The sequence below is a fragment of the Homo sapiens genome, chromosome 1 (assembly GCF_000001405.40).
Source record: "Homo sapiens chromosome 1, GRCh38.p14 Primary Assembly".
Taxonomy (NCBI): Eukaryota; Metazoa; Chordata; class Mammalia; order Primates; family Hominidae; genus Homo; species Homo sapiens.
In genome coordinates, this window is record NC_000001.11 from 94451267 (window position 1) to 94464928 (window position 13662).

A 13662-nucleotide genomic window follows, 5' to 3' on the forward strand; every position below is an offset into this window, starting at 1 on the left:
ATTTCTGCTGGTCCTTGGTTATGGAGTCTAATTTCCTTAGTGCTTGATAATTTTTTATTACGGTCTGGAGATTTTATTTAAAATTACTTGTCAGAATAATTTTGAGGCTTATAATAAACATACTTTACTTTTAAGAGCAAAGTTTGCTTCTTTACCCAGGAGCATTGTCAGTCAGGGAACAACTTAAACCAAGTTCCTTGAGAACACATTCTAAATTTTTTAGAACAGCATCTTAATAAACAAAAACAACACTCACGTTTCAGATTTTATATTTTTGTTTCCCAAAGGATTTATATCACTGTATTTCCAAGTCATTGTCATGTTAATGTCTTTCAAATCAACATCTCTGCTCATGAACTTCAAATCTAAGCATTTTAAAAAATTGTCTTCTGAACATTTCCGTATACTTAGCTTACGGGATGTGAAATCAACATGTTTATAGTGAATCCAATTACTGTTTCTCTGAATGCTTGTTTTACTGTTATTCTTTATTGTAGTCAGTGAAATCACTGTCCTCCAGTCACCCAGGGTGCAATCTGCCTTTGAGACTTGGAGAAAAATACTTTGCCATTTGAGATATCAGTTTGGAGTTGATAGCTGCTAATACTTCCTCTGTCTTAAGTTTGTGGTCTTCTCTCCCTCTCATTTCCATATGCAGTTAGTTCCCAACTCTTATTTATTCCCTTACTTGTCATTTCTAGTAATTTTCATGCTTCTTTCTTCCACTCTCATACCCACTGTCTTTGTTCAGGCATTCATCATCTCTGATCTTGGGATAATCCTTGGGTGCCTAATACATTCTAATCACTGAGGTCAAGGTTTCTTAGACAGGGTCACCATGTAATTTATTATCCTAACTGGTACAGTTTTGAGACTGAAAGAGTGCAATTAATTATTATATCAGGACAACAGATGTAAACAAGGACCATTCTGGGCAAACTTAATTCAGATGGCCACTCCATTCCAGGAAGATAAGTGCTGAATTTTAAAGACGAGTAGTAATCAAATAAGTTGATTGATGAAGAGTCCTTTAAAGCAAAAGAGATAGTATATGAGCAAATAGTGGGGTGAGAGAGAGCGCAGTATTAGGTTGAAGCATGTGCAGTTGCCATTTTATAAGTGAGAAATGGTCAAATAATTCAGTTTCACATAGTTTAACCTGATAGATGAAGGTAACTTGAGCACAGAGTGTGCCTCGTGGCAGGAGATGAACCTGAAAAGAAGGCAGGAGCCAGATCATGAAGTTCTTTGAGTACCATTTTATGGAATTTGGATTTTATTCTGAAAGTCATTATGTACATATTTATTTTTAAATTTTAATGATAAGGTATTTATCTAATTTTTGAATAGGCAGTACATTCGCATGGTCTGAAATTTTAAAAAAATGTTGGTGTAAGTGGGAATAGTTTGTAGTTTTCTTTGTGGAATTTGATTTTGGTGTCAATGGTTTTTTTTGTTTTTTTTTGTTTGTTTGTTTGTTTGTTTTTGGAGACAGAGCCTTGCTCTGTTTCCCAGGCTGGAGTGCAGTGGCACAATCTCAGCTCACCGCAACTTCCGCCTCCCAGGTTCAAGTGATTCTCATGCCTCAGCCTCCCAAGTTAGCTGGGACTACAGGCATGCACCACCACGCCCAGCTAATTTTTGTATTTTTAATAGAGACAGGGTTTCACCATGTTGGCCAGGCTGTTCTTGAACTCCTGGCCTCAAGTGATCCGCCCGCCTCTGCCTTCCAAAGCACTGGGATCCACCCGTCTGGCCTTCCAAAGTGCTCGGCCTTCCAAAGTGCAGGTGTGAGCCCGCCCAAGTTTGGGTGTCAGTGTTTTACTTGCAGCAAAAATAATGTGGAAGCTTCTTTTACCTGTGTCCTAAAACAGTTAAAGCATTGGAATTATCTGTTCACTGGGGGTTTTGTTAGAACTCCCCGGTAAATCGTTTGGTTTGGTTCTTTTTTGGGGAATAGAAGGGTAGGAGGTGGGCAGCTCTCAGACAACTTTATAATTTCAGTTTTTCAGTCTGTTTTTTCTTCTCTCTGCTAGGTTTGGAAAATTATATTTTTCTTTTTTTTTTTTTTTGAGATGGAGTCTCGCTGTCGCCCAGGTTGGAGTGCAGTGGCGCGATCTCGGCTCACTGCAGGCTCCGCCTCCCGGGTTCACGCCATTCTCCTGCCTCAGCCTTTTGAGTAGCTGGGACTACAGGTGCCCGCCACCTCGCCTGGCTAATTTTTTGTATTTTTAGTAGAGATGGGGTTTCACCTTGTTAGCCAGGATGGTCTCGATCTCCTGACCTCGTGATCCGCCCACCTCGGCCTCCCAAAGTGCTGGGATTACAGGCGTGAGCCACCGCGCCCAGCCGGAAAATTATATTTTTCTAGAAAATTAACCATTTCATTCAGGCTTTCAAATTTCTTTACATAGAGTTGAGATAAGAAGTCTTTTACCTTTTTTTTTTTCAAATTTTATCTATTTTTGTGCTCATTTTTTTTATTTTTTGTGTTTTTGTACTCCTTTTAAAATCAGATTGTCTCGTGATTTATTTTCCAAAGAATCAACTCTTGAATTTTAATGTATTAGTATTTTGTTTTCTAACTCATTAGATTCTGCTTGGGTGGTTTTAAATTTCTTCTGCTTTTTTTTGTTCTTTGTAAACTTTTGGTTGGATGCTTGTATTATTAATCTTTTTTTTTTTCATTTTTTATTGAAATAAGGTTCTGAGCATTGCTTTAGGTGAATTCCACAGGATATATATTTTATATAGATGTATGTGGTCTATATATATATGTATGGGCATGCATATGTGTATGTACTTGGGTATATTCAGTATGTATATACATATACACGTATTTGATGTGGTTATGGAAATAAATTGAAAGAGGACAGAAACTAATGATAACGAACTCAGAAAACAAGTGAGAATATTATAATAGTTCACATGAGAAATTTTGATGGCCTGAATTGAAATCATAGCAGTAGAAATGGAAAGAGCATAGAGAGAGATTGGAAATGAAGTGTATGAGAAAAGGAAAATAAATATCTTAGAATAATTCGCAGCTTTGTGGTTTGAGTAGCTGGTAGATGAAGGTGTGATCACTGATTTAGGGCTTATGTTCAGTATGGAATAATGGAAGAATAGATTTGGGGTGGAAAGGTGAGTTCAGATATAGACATGTTTGCATTAAATCCTGGTACAGATACCTTATTAAAAATCAGATATTCAAGTCAGGGGCTCGGGAAAGAGGAGGAAGCTAGAGATTTTGAGGGAGGGGGTCAGAGAAAGGGTAGATAGTTGATTTTGTGGTTTGACTGAGGTGGTCTAGGATAGTATCTCTTTGACCTAGAGATAGTAGGTCTAAAGATGCATTACTCAGGGTCTAAATTCTTATAGAACTTACTTTCTTTTTCTTTTTAAGATGAAGTCTTGGTCTGTCACCCAAGCTGGAGTGCAGTGGTGCAATCTTGGCCCACTGCAACCTCTGCCTCCAGGGTTCAAGCCATTCTTCTGCCTCAGCCTCCCGAGTAGCTGGGATTACAGATGTACACCACCATGCCCAGCTAATTTTTATATTTTTAGTAGAGACAGGGTTTTGCCATGTTGGCCAGGCTGGTCTCAAACTCCTGACCTCAAGCGATCCACTAGCCTTGGCCTCCCAAGATGCTGGGATTACAGGCGTGAGCCACCACACCTGGCCTAGAACTTTCTTTATAGAACTAATTTTGTTTTCATTTTGATGATAAATTAAAAATAAATTAATATAAGCATATTCTGGGTTATCTGAATGACTACCATGCTATACAGATTTTAGTGCCAGTATTGTGTTTAAATGGTTGCTAAGTGATCATCTAGAGCCCACATGTATGATAAATCTGCTGTATTGGAACTTATATCAGGTTAATGTGTATTAATGTAAAGTCAAGAAAATCATCTTCAACTTCTGTACTCATACTGAATTGTTTTGCCATTAAAAATATCTTTTATAGTGATAATTTCAGGTGAAAGCTATTTTCATAGAACTTCCTGAGAAACAAATCTCATAAAGAAGTTTTTAAGAAACTTATAAATGAATTTTTTTTTTTTTTTTTGAGACCGAGTTTTGCTCTTATTGCCCAGGCTGGAGTGCGATGGCACGATCTTGGCTCACCACAACCTCCGCCTCCTGGGTTCAAGTGATTCTTCTGCCTCAGCCTCCTGAGTAGCTGGGATTACAGGCATGCACCATCACGCCCGGCTAATTTTGTATTTTTAGTAGAGACGGGGTTTCTCCATGTCAGTCAGGCTGGTCTCAAACTCCCGACTTCAGGTGATCCTCCCACCTTAACCTCCCAAAGTGCTGGGATTATAGATGTAAGCCACTGCACCTGGCAAGAAATTTTAATTGTCACAGACTGATTAAAGAAAATAGGACTTATATGTAGATTATGTGTTCAGGCCAATTGAAGCTTTATAAGATGTCATGGTTCCCTCTGAACAAGGTATTTCATGGAAACTTGGAGAGAGAAAAGTGATGAAGTGATGGGAGAGCTGACTGATCATGTGACTCATTGGTAGGTGTGTGTGTACATGTGTATATATATATTTTTGTGAGCATCGTACTGCATGAATCTCCATTTATCTCTAAGTATCAATTTATAACATTTATTAGTGGTAAGCAGTGTGGCATTTTTATTGAATACTAATTTTTTTATTTTTATGTTGATATACATATACATTGTGAAATGATTACTATTATCAAGCTATAGTCACCATCCTGTACATTAGATCTCCAGAACTTATTCATCTTGCGTGACTGAACTTTGTACCTTTTGACCAACTTTTCCCCATTTCCCCCAACCCCTGAGCCCCTGACAACCACCATTCTATTCTCTGCTTCTATGAGTTTGACTTTTTTAGATTCCACATGTAAGTGAGATTATGCAGAATTTGTCTTTTTGGGCCTGGCTTATTTCATTTAGTATAATGTCCCCCGGTTCATCCATGTTGTTGCAAATGACAGAATTTTTTTTTTTTTTTTTTTTTTTTTTTTTTTTTTTTGGAGACGGAGTCTTGCTCTGTCGCCCAGGCTGGAGTGCAGTGGCACAATCTCAGCTTGCTGCAACCTCTGCCTCCCAGGTTCAAGCCAGTTCTCCTGCCTTAGCCTCCCAAGTAGCTGGGACTACAGGTGCATGCCTCCACACTGGACTATTTTTTTTTTTATTTTAGTAGAGACAGAGTTTCACCGTGTTGCCCAGGCTGGTCTTGAACTCCTGAGCTCAGTCAGTCCTCCCGCCTCGGGCTTCCAAAGTGCTAGGATTACAGGCCTGAGCTGCCACACTTAGCTCCTTTTTTTTTTTTAAGCTGAATTTATTCCATTGTATTTATATACCACATATTCTTTATCCATTGATCTCTCGATGGACATTTAGGTTGATTCCATATCTCTTACTGTTATGAATAATGCTGCAGGGAACGTGAGAGTGCAGATACCTCTTTGAGATACTGATTTCATTTCCTTAGGATCTATACCCAGAAGTGGGAATGCTGGATCATATGGTAGTTATGTTTTAATTTTTTGAGGAACCTCCATACTGTTTTCCATAATGGTTGTACTAATTTATATTCTTCTCAACCAACAATGTTCAAGTGTTCTCTTTTCTCCACGTCCTTGCCAACAGTTATCTTTTATCTTTTTGATAATAGTCATCCTAAGAAGTATGAGTATTATCCCATTGTGGTTTTGATTTGCATTTTTCTGATGATTAGTGATGCTGAGCATTTTTTCACATACTAGCCAGCCATTTATATGTCTTTTGAGAAATGTCTATTTGGGTCCTTTGCTCGTTTTTTAAAATTGGATTGTTGTCTTGCTATTGAGTTGTTTGAGTTCCTTATATATTTTGGATATTAACCCCTAATCAGGTGTATGGTTGCAAATATTTTCTCCCATAGTTTATCTCTTCACTGCATTGTTTTGTCGTGCTAAAATGCATTTTGTATAACAGTTTTACAATTCATAAAAGATTTTAAACATATAAATAATCATATTTAAAATATCGTATAATACAACTGAAATTAGAAATAATAATAATCTACGTGCTTTTTAAAATAAGCGCATCTATTGTAGTTAAGTTTGGCTTTTTAGTCTTGTTTGGTGTCCTGGTATCTTACTACTGAAGATGTGCATTCGGCAGATCATCGGAGTTCAAACAGATGTTGAACATAGAGGGTTGAATAATGTATGACCCCTGTAGTAGACTCAGATTCCCCTTTAAAGAAGGGTTTCCTGCCCAGCTGTGAGAAATGTGAAATCCTGACAGCCCCCTCTTTCCCCGCCTTTGTCCCCCACCTTAGAGTCTGGCTCAGCTCTAGAGACACTCCCCTCTCCTCATGTCACAGACTTCCTGGGGCAGCATGCATTTGCAGACTGAGCAAGGCGGAGGTAAAAAAGGCCTGACCATTTCAGCCCATCAGAGAGCACTCTGATGGACAGTGCTTGCTTTAGAATTTCCTATATGGTTGGCTGAAGTTATTTTGGGCTTGCATCAGTTTGAGTTCTGTCCAAACCTGATTTCTCTGCCTTCCATTCACAGGTGTTGATCCCTGATGAACATTTGTACCCCAGACACCATATTACCTCAGCTTCAGAGAAACCAGCCTGCAGTAGCTCCTGATAGCATGGAACTAGTTTAATGGAAGGGAATATACATCCAACAAGAAATTTAAAACGTGATCAATGTTATGTAGAAGCATAGGGTGCCATGGTAGTGCGTTATGGAAAGGACCGATGCCCAGCTAATTATATTGTTTTGGGAGGTAGCCTAGACTAGTAGTCAGAATATGAACCTTGGGCATACTGCTTACTCTCTCCAGGCCACTTTCCTCATTTGTAATATGGGAATGACACATGTTCTGTCATCCTTTAGAAGACTAGCCTAGGATTGCTCACATGGTTGGGGAAAGATTCCCAGCAGTAAGAGGGAGCAATGCACATTTTCCAAGCCTCTGTTTGTGTCAGTTTGCTGATGTCCCATTGGCCAAAGCGGTTTACATGGCCAAGCTATGATTCAAGGATGAAGAAGTAGACTTGCATTTATGTTTGTATTTATACACACACATACACACACCTAAAAATTACCAAACAGAATGTCTGTTACATAATAGTGGTAGTTAAAATTTATTAAGCACTTTTTGTAAATAATGCCTAGTAAGAGTCAGGTGGACTATTATTATTTAATATGTTCTATCTCACTATGATGTGAAAAAGAAGAAACGCTTTTAAATAATTTGGTATATTTGACATCTTAAAATCATCTTAATGATAACACTTTTCACATAAAGTAAAGCTCTCTCTCTCTTTTTTTCCTCTGCAGTAAGAAAAGTGGAAAACCACCATTACAGAACAATGAGGTAAAAGTTTAAATCATCTTCTTTTTGGGATTTCATGCATTTATTTCATTTATTTTGTCATATGATTCTGATTTAGGATTAAATTTTATAATTAGTAGGGAACTTAAAAATACTCCAGTCTTCTACACATTACAGGAATACTCTCTGAAATAGGACTCCTGACAGGAAAGTGTTACTCTAGGAGGCAGCATTAACTGCATTAGTTCTAGCCCATGATGATATTAGTTTCCCCCCCTCTTCTAGCTTCTTAGCAGTGACTCTGTTATATCTTTTGTATCGAGATATATCTTGTCCCCCCTCCCTTCCCCTCCCCGCTTCCCTCCCCTCCTCCACCTCCCCTCTCCTTTTCTCCCTTCCTGTCCCCTCCCCTCCCCTTCCCTCTTTTTTCTTTTCTTCTCTTTTCTTCAAAATTTTCTTTTTACCAACCAGGTCTCATTCTGTCATCCAGGCTGGAGTGCAGTGGCATGATCATAGCTCACTGTAACCTTGACCTCCTGAGCTCTAAGGATCCTCCTACCTCAGCCTGAAGTAGCTGGGACTGTAGATGTGAGCCACCTTGCCTGGCTCTGTTTTCTCTAGTACACCCACATATATTTGAAGATAGTTGTATCTTACGAGTCTTTCTTTTCCTGTGCTAAGCAATCTTGATTCCTTCTAATATGTCTCATGTGACATGGGTTCTGATCCTTTTTCAGTTCTGTATACATTCCTTTGGACCTATACTAGTTTCCTTAGGCATTGTGCTTAGAATGGAATGTAGTTGTCCAGTTATGGCCTGACTAGCATGGAATATATCAGCATGATTACATTTCTTGATATGAATACAATATTGCTAAAATTCATCCTAAAATTGCTTTTAATTCTTTAACCGTAACTATTTTTTACATTAAGTGGAATTTATGGTAAATTATAAACTTCAGGTGTATTTTTGACAACTCTATATCTCTACATGTTATATTCATGATAGATTTATTGAGATATATATACCATAAAATTTATCCATTTAAGTGTATAAATGAGTAGTTAGTGTAGTCACAGAGTTGTGTGGCTATCACCACTACCTAGTTTTAGGAAATTTTCATCTCTCCAAAAAAATCCTGTACTCATTAGCAGTCATTCCTTATTACCCTCTTCCCCCAATCCCTGGCAACCACAAATCTGTTTCTGTCCCTGTTGACTTACCTGTTCTGGACATTTCAAATAAATGAAATCATATAATATGTGGCTTTTTATGCCTAGCTTCTTTCACTTAGCACAATGTTTTCAAGGTTCATCATGTTGTTGTATCAGTATTGCATTCCTTTTTATTGCTGAATAGTGTTCTTTGTATGCATATACCACATTATGTTTATCAGTTCATCAGTTGGTGGACATTTAGGTTGCTTCTACTTTTTGGCTATTATGAATAATAACAATGCTGCTATGAAAATTTGTGCACAAGTTTTTATGTAGAGATATGTTTTTATTTCTCTTGGGTGTGTATCTAGGAGTGGAATTGCTGGGTCATATGTTAACGCAGTTGCTTTGTTTTAGATAAACATTAATTTATTGCGGTAAATGTCAGCTTATTGGGTTTAACCTACTATCTATACCATTAGTCTAATTTTTAGTGCAATTCTCACATCTGGTATGTTAAGTAGAAGAATTATCTACAAATTTAATTTGCCTTTCCTTTCTTTCACAGAACTGCTGATAGTATTGACTATGTAAGGACCAAGGAGATTGCTCTGTGACATCTCTTAATCTTTGTTTCTGGTTATTCAGCTGTGACTACATCCAACTATAGCAAAATCTGGTTCTTATTTCTCCATTGAGACCACAATAATTTTATAAGAAACATCTAATTCCTTTATTAATTTATTAATTCACTTAGTAAGTCAGTCTTTCAGTAAGTAATAAGTTTCCACCCTCATGGAGCTTACATTCTGCATATCAGCTAGTATGCTAGTTATGGTATCCTTAACAAATAAGAAAATTAGAACAATTTAACATGACGTACTTTCAGTAAACTGATGCTGGCTTCTAGTGATTAGTGTCTCTCAAGTCTTCCCCAACCCTCCATGTCAGTGTCTGTTCTCTGAATATCCTGGTGATTGACATCAAGATTGTTGTTCTTTAGTCTCTGTAATATTTCCTTCCTAGTCTTTGAAAAATGTGATAAGATGTGCTTATGTCCACTTCTCTGGCATATCTCCAGCTCCGTGATCTCTCATGTCTAAGTTCTATCTGAGTAATCAAATGTTAGTTATCTGAACTTAGTCATATCTCTTATTTGCATATTGGATATCTGCAAGTTCTAGGACAGCTAGATTCATTTTACTCATTTTTTTCTTATTTTTCTGTACAATATTTTAGCATATACTTATTTGCTGGTTGCATAGTGTGAGAAAGATAAATTTAGGTTATATTAAGTGATTGGCAATAAAAAGGACACAATATGCACACTGATAGCACATTTGTTAAATGTATAGGAAGTACACACGTGTGCTAAAATGAAATCTAGTAGGATATGTAACAAAGGCAGTAGGTTTAATTTTCTTATTTTTGCTCGTCAGAATTTTCTAATTTTTCTACAGTGAATATGTTACTTTTGAGGAAAGCAACTTAACGTATTTTTTTGGTAGAAATTTTTTATATCCTTTGTGATGGAGATAGGGTGGGGAGAGGCAATTTTCATAAGACGTGAATTTTAAGGAGGAAAAAAGAATTTAATTAGAAAGTTGGAGAACAATATAATGAAATTCAAAATGTATAAAGATAAGTACTGTGCTGGGTTCAGTATTTAGCATTCCCATGCATATTTTTGTATTTTGGCATGTGTGTGTATGTGTGTGTATCCATAAACAATATAGTTAGAATTACTTTACATATTTAAAAGTTTCATAAATTCATGTGTAAAATGAATTGCATGTATCATTCTAATTTTTTCCAGCATACTAATTTTTAGGTCACTTCATGTTTAAAGCTGTAGACCTGCTCTTTCATATTCTGTTTCTGTGTATGTGAGCTGCTTTCTTTTTTACAGTTGTATAGAGTTTTCATTGAATAATTTTGCTATGATTTATGTAATATTGGTGTACATCAGGTTGTTTTTAATTTTATGGTATTATAAACGAGTACGATGTTTTTATTTGTGTGGCTAAGCATATGTGCAGGTATATTTGTAGGGTAAGTTCCTGAAAGTAAATTTACTGGGTTATTTTACATTTTACAGTCAGTGTACATTTTACATTTTGATAAATGATACATAATAGTTGTACCAGTTTTCACTTTTCCCTACAATGTATAGGAATACTTATACTCTGTCAGCACTACATGGCCTCTTATTTTACTGCTATTTCAAACATCTTTTTCAGTCAGTCTCACCTACGGTGATTGACGTATCAATAGGAACTTCTCATTGTACTTTGACCTTTGTTACCTTTTGAATTTTAGGTTTTCTTTTTTCCTTTGTTGCATTATTACTTCGACTTCTCAAATAGCTTTTAATGATTTGTTTGCTTTTTCTATAATGTTCATGTTAAACTTATATCACCACAGTGGTCTTTTTTTTATATTTAAAAAAATTATTGGGAAGTTTAGAAGTGGGAAAAGTGGTCTTTTTTTGTATTTAAAAAAATTACTGGGAAAGTTTGGAAGTGGGAAAAGTTCATTGTGAATTTAAAATGAATTCTTAGGAAAGGCTAGTAATATTATGTACTGCCTCTATAGTTACTCTTATTTAGATTGGTTTCAGGTAGAGTTTTGCTGTGATCAAGATTCCTGACATCTCTTTGAATTCAGCCCTTCTGAGCCAGCCTCCCAGTCCAGGTGATCCTTTGCAGAAAACAATGATAATTTGGAAGAATATAGTTAGTTCCTTTCATGGATTGAAACGTAATGAAAATCCATCAGGTTTCAGTCAGTTTAAGGATAGGGAAAGTGACAATAGGAACAGAAGAAAATGAGGAGGAATTTTATACAAGTTAGCAACTAATATTTTAAAGTGTTTCAACGTTACTCTCTTGTAATTCTTTTTTTCTAACTTTCCTCATTGTTTGTCTTAGATCATTTCTTTAGAGTAGCTAGAAACAGGTGGTCCTCTGTTTAACTCAGATGTCCATTTCACCTCAGGATTGTGCCACTTAAAGTTCCAGCTAGCAATAGAGAAGGGTGTTGCCTACAGGTAAGGCAAGGTGAAGTGAGGAGGGAGTGGTGATGGCGATAGGAGGAAGAACAAGTAGTTTAACTTCTTTTTTTAAAAAGGTAGTTAATATGTATCACCTTTTCTTTACTCTTTTCTTCCTATGTTTTCTGGGTTTGGGGAAAATACAAACAGATTAGGTTGAATGTGTAAGGTTTAGCTTGAGGAGAATAGGCTAGTTCAACTAACTGGACTGTGAGTGGGGCTTTTTGTCTGTTTTGTTTGCTGTTGTGTGCTTATCATTTGGAATAGGGTTTGGATCAAGTAGTTGTTTGTTGAATGAATGAATGTAAGCATGTATGAATTAAGTAGACTGAGCCTGTAACTCAGTAGGATGAGGTTTGCAACTTTGTCTGAAAGACCTGAAATGCTGAGTCTCTGTTCCAGCAGTTGCAGGGTAGGTGGATTCTTTTCCAGTTCCTCCTATTGTAGTCTTTCTAGTCTAACCCTATAAACACAGTGCCTTCAGACTTCCTTTTTTGGCCTACAGTTCTGCACTGCACTCAGTGCTTATTTCTTAGGATTATGTCTATAAAGCCTTAGCACAGTGTCTGACACATAGTTGGTAGTTATTATTATTCTAATTCAGTACCCAAACAGTTCACTTAAGGCTCATCAAGTTAGATATTTATTTAATCAAAGCACATTTACATTATAGCTAACTAATAGCGTTACTCTACTAATACAAACAGGTATTTGTTTGTCAGGAGCACAGTAGTTAGCCAGATAAGTGAGCTGTGATAATGGAGTTGGGGAAAGGGTTAGTCAGGGAATTGGGGTTTTTCTGGAGTGTCTTGCCTTTTCCAAGAAGTTTCCCCTGTCCTTCCAAACAGTCCAAGAGTAGTAAGTCTCGTCACGTGTTTCCTTATCTTTGCAAATGGTTTAGTACTTCCATTTTCATGGAGCTAGTGAAAATGAAAAAACTCTTGAGAGAGGTAAGATTATCTTCTTTTAAATCCCTCTACACTCACAGTAAGCTCTCAATCTTTACTGTGGCTTCAAGGCTCTGTCCTTTATAAGCCCTGCCTACCTTTTAAACTTCTCTCATTCTTGTTCCCTTTGCTACAGCAATACTGCCATCTTGCTGTGAAATGTGCACACCGATTTTATTTCCAACACTGTATTTTTGTGCTCGTTGTTCCTTGTGCTTCACTCCCTCCCCTCTGCTACCCACTTTAAATAATCACATGGCTTTTTTTTATTTATGTCTAAGCTTAAATGTCAAGAGACTTTTCAGACCATCCTGTGTGAACTGTTCTTTTTTTTCCCCTCATGACCCTGTCTAGTCTGTCTGTAATAATTTATTTATTGGTTTATTTTTTGTCTATGTTTCTCCCGCTAGAATGTGAGCTGCATAAGTGAAAGAACCTTGTCTGTCTTTGAATTTTATGAGGAAGAGAGAGTGAATTGACAGACTGTATATTGGAAATGTTAAATGGTAAATCTAGGAATCCAAAAGTTTCCTCTATTTAATATCAGGCAAAATTCTGTTCAGGATTTTTTTTTTTTAAATATGGTGTTAATCAGGAAGTGGCTAATACAAAACTCAGTAAACCCTTGACCTTTTTTCAGCTGTCTCTCTGACCTCGTCCTCTGTGATGGTACCTTCCTCACAGCTCCAGCCAGGTTGGCCATTTTGTTCTTCCTCAAGCACGTTGCAGGTGTTCACCTTGGTATTTTGCAGTTGCTATTTCTTCTGCTTGCAGTTTTCTTCACCCAGATAATTGTGTGGTTCCAGAACTCACTTCCTTATTCAGTTTTTAGATAACATTGTTTTCTCAAAAACATGTTTGAATATGAGGAGCAGTGTAAGTATGCAAGTCTGTGTTTTGTAAATTCAGTTTTTATCTTGATAGCTGTTTATGTTGACTTAGATGAAACATGGTTCTTTAATTTTATGATATGTTTGTTATAGCTATCTTAAAAGGGCTTCTTTTTTTTAATGCAGAAAGAGGGGAAAAAGGAGCGAGCTGTGGTGGACAAGGTGTTTTTCTCAAGGCTCATACAGATTCTGAAAATCATGGTCCCTAGAACATTTTGTAAAGAGGTAAGTCTTATGAAATTATAATCTTAAGTATATTGGGCCGTTCTTTAATAAAATA

General features: G+C 36.8%; 1 protein-coding gene across 7 annotated transcripts in view; it reads left to right on the forward strand.

The window, feature by feature from the left end:
- Positions 1 to 13662, forward strand: part of ABCD3 (ATP binding cassette subfamily D member 3) — a 133533-nt gene that overhangs the window by 66136 nt on the left and 53735 nt on the right. For 4 of the 7 annotated variants that reach the window (XM_047426556.1, NM_002858.4, NM_001122674.2 and 1 more), the window contains exons 2-3: positions 7341 to 7377; positions 13509 to 13607. In XM_047426556.1, coding sequence (XP_047282512.1) covers positions 13581 to 13607 — 27 coding nt within the window. In that variant the 5' untranslated portion in view covers positions 7341 to 7377; positions 13509 to 13580. Of the gene's footprint in view, positions 1 to 4466; positions 4539 to 7340; positions 7378 to 13508; positions 13608 to 13662 lie in introns of all 7 variants that reach the window. The other 3 variants (XM_006710802.3, XM_047426546.1, XM_047426549.1) reach the window with 2 other exon arrangements.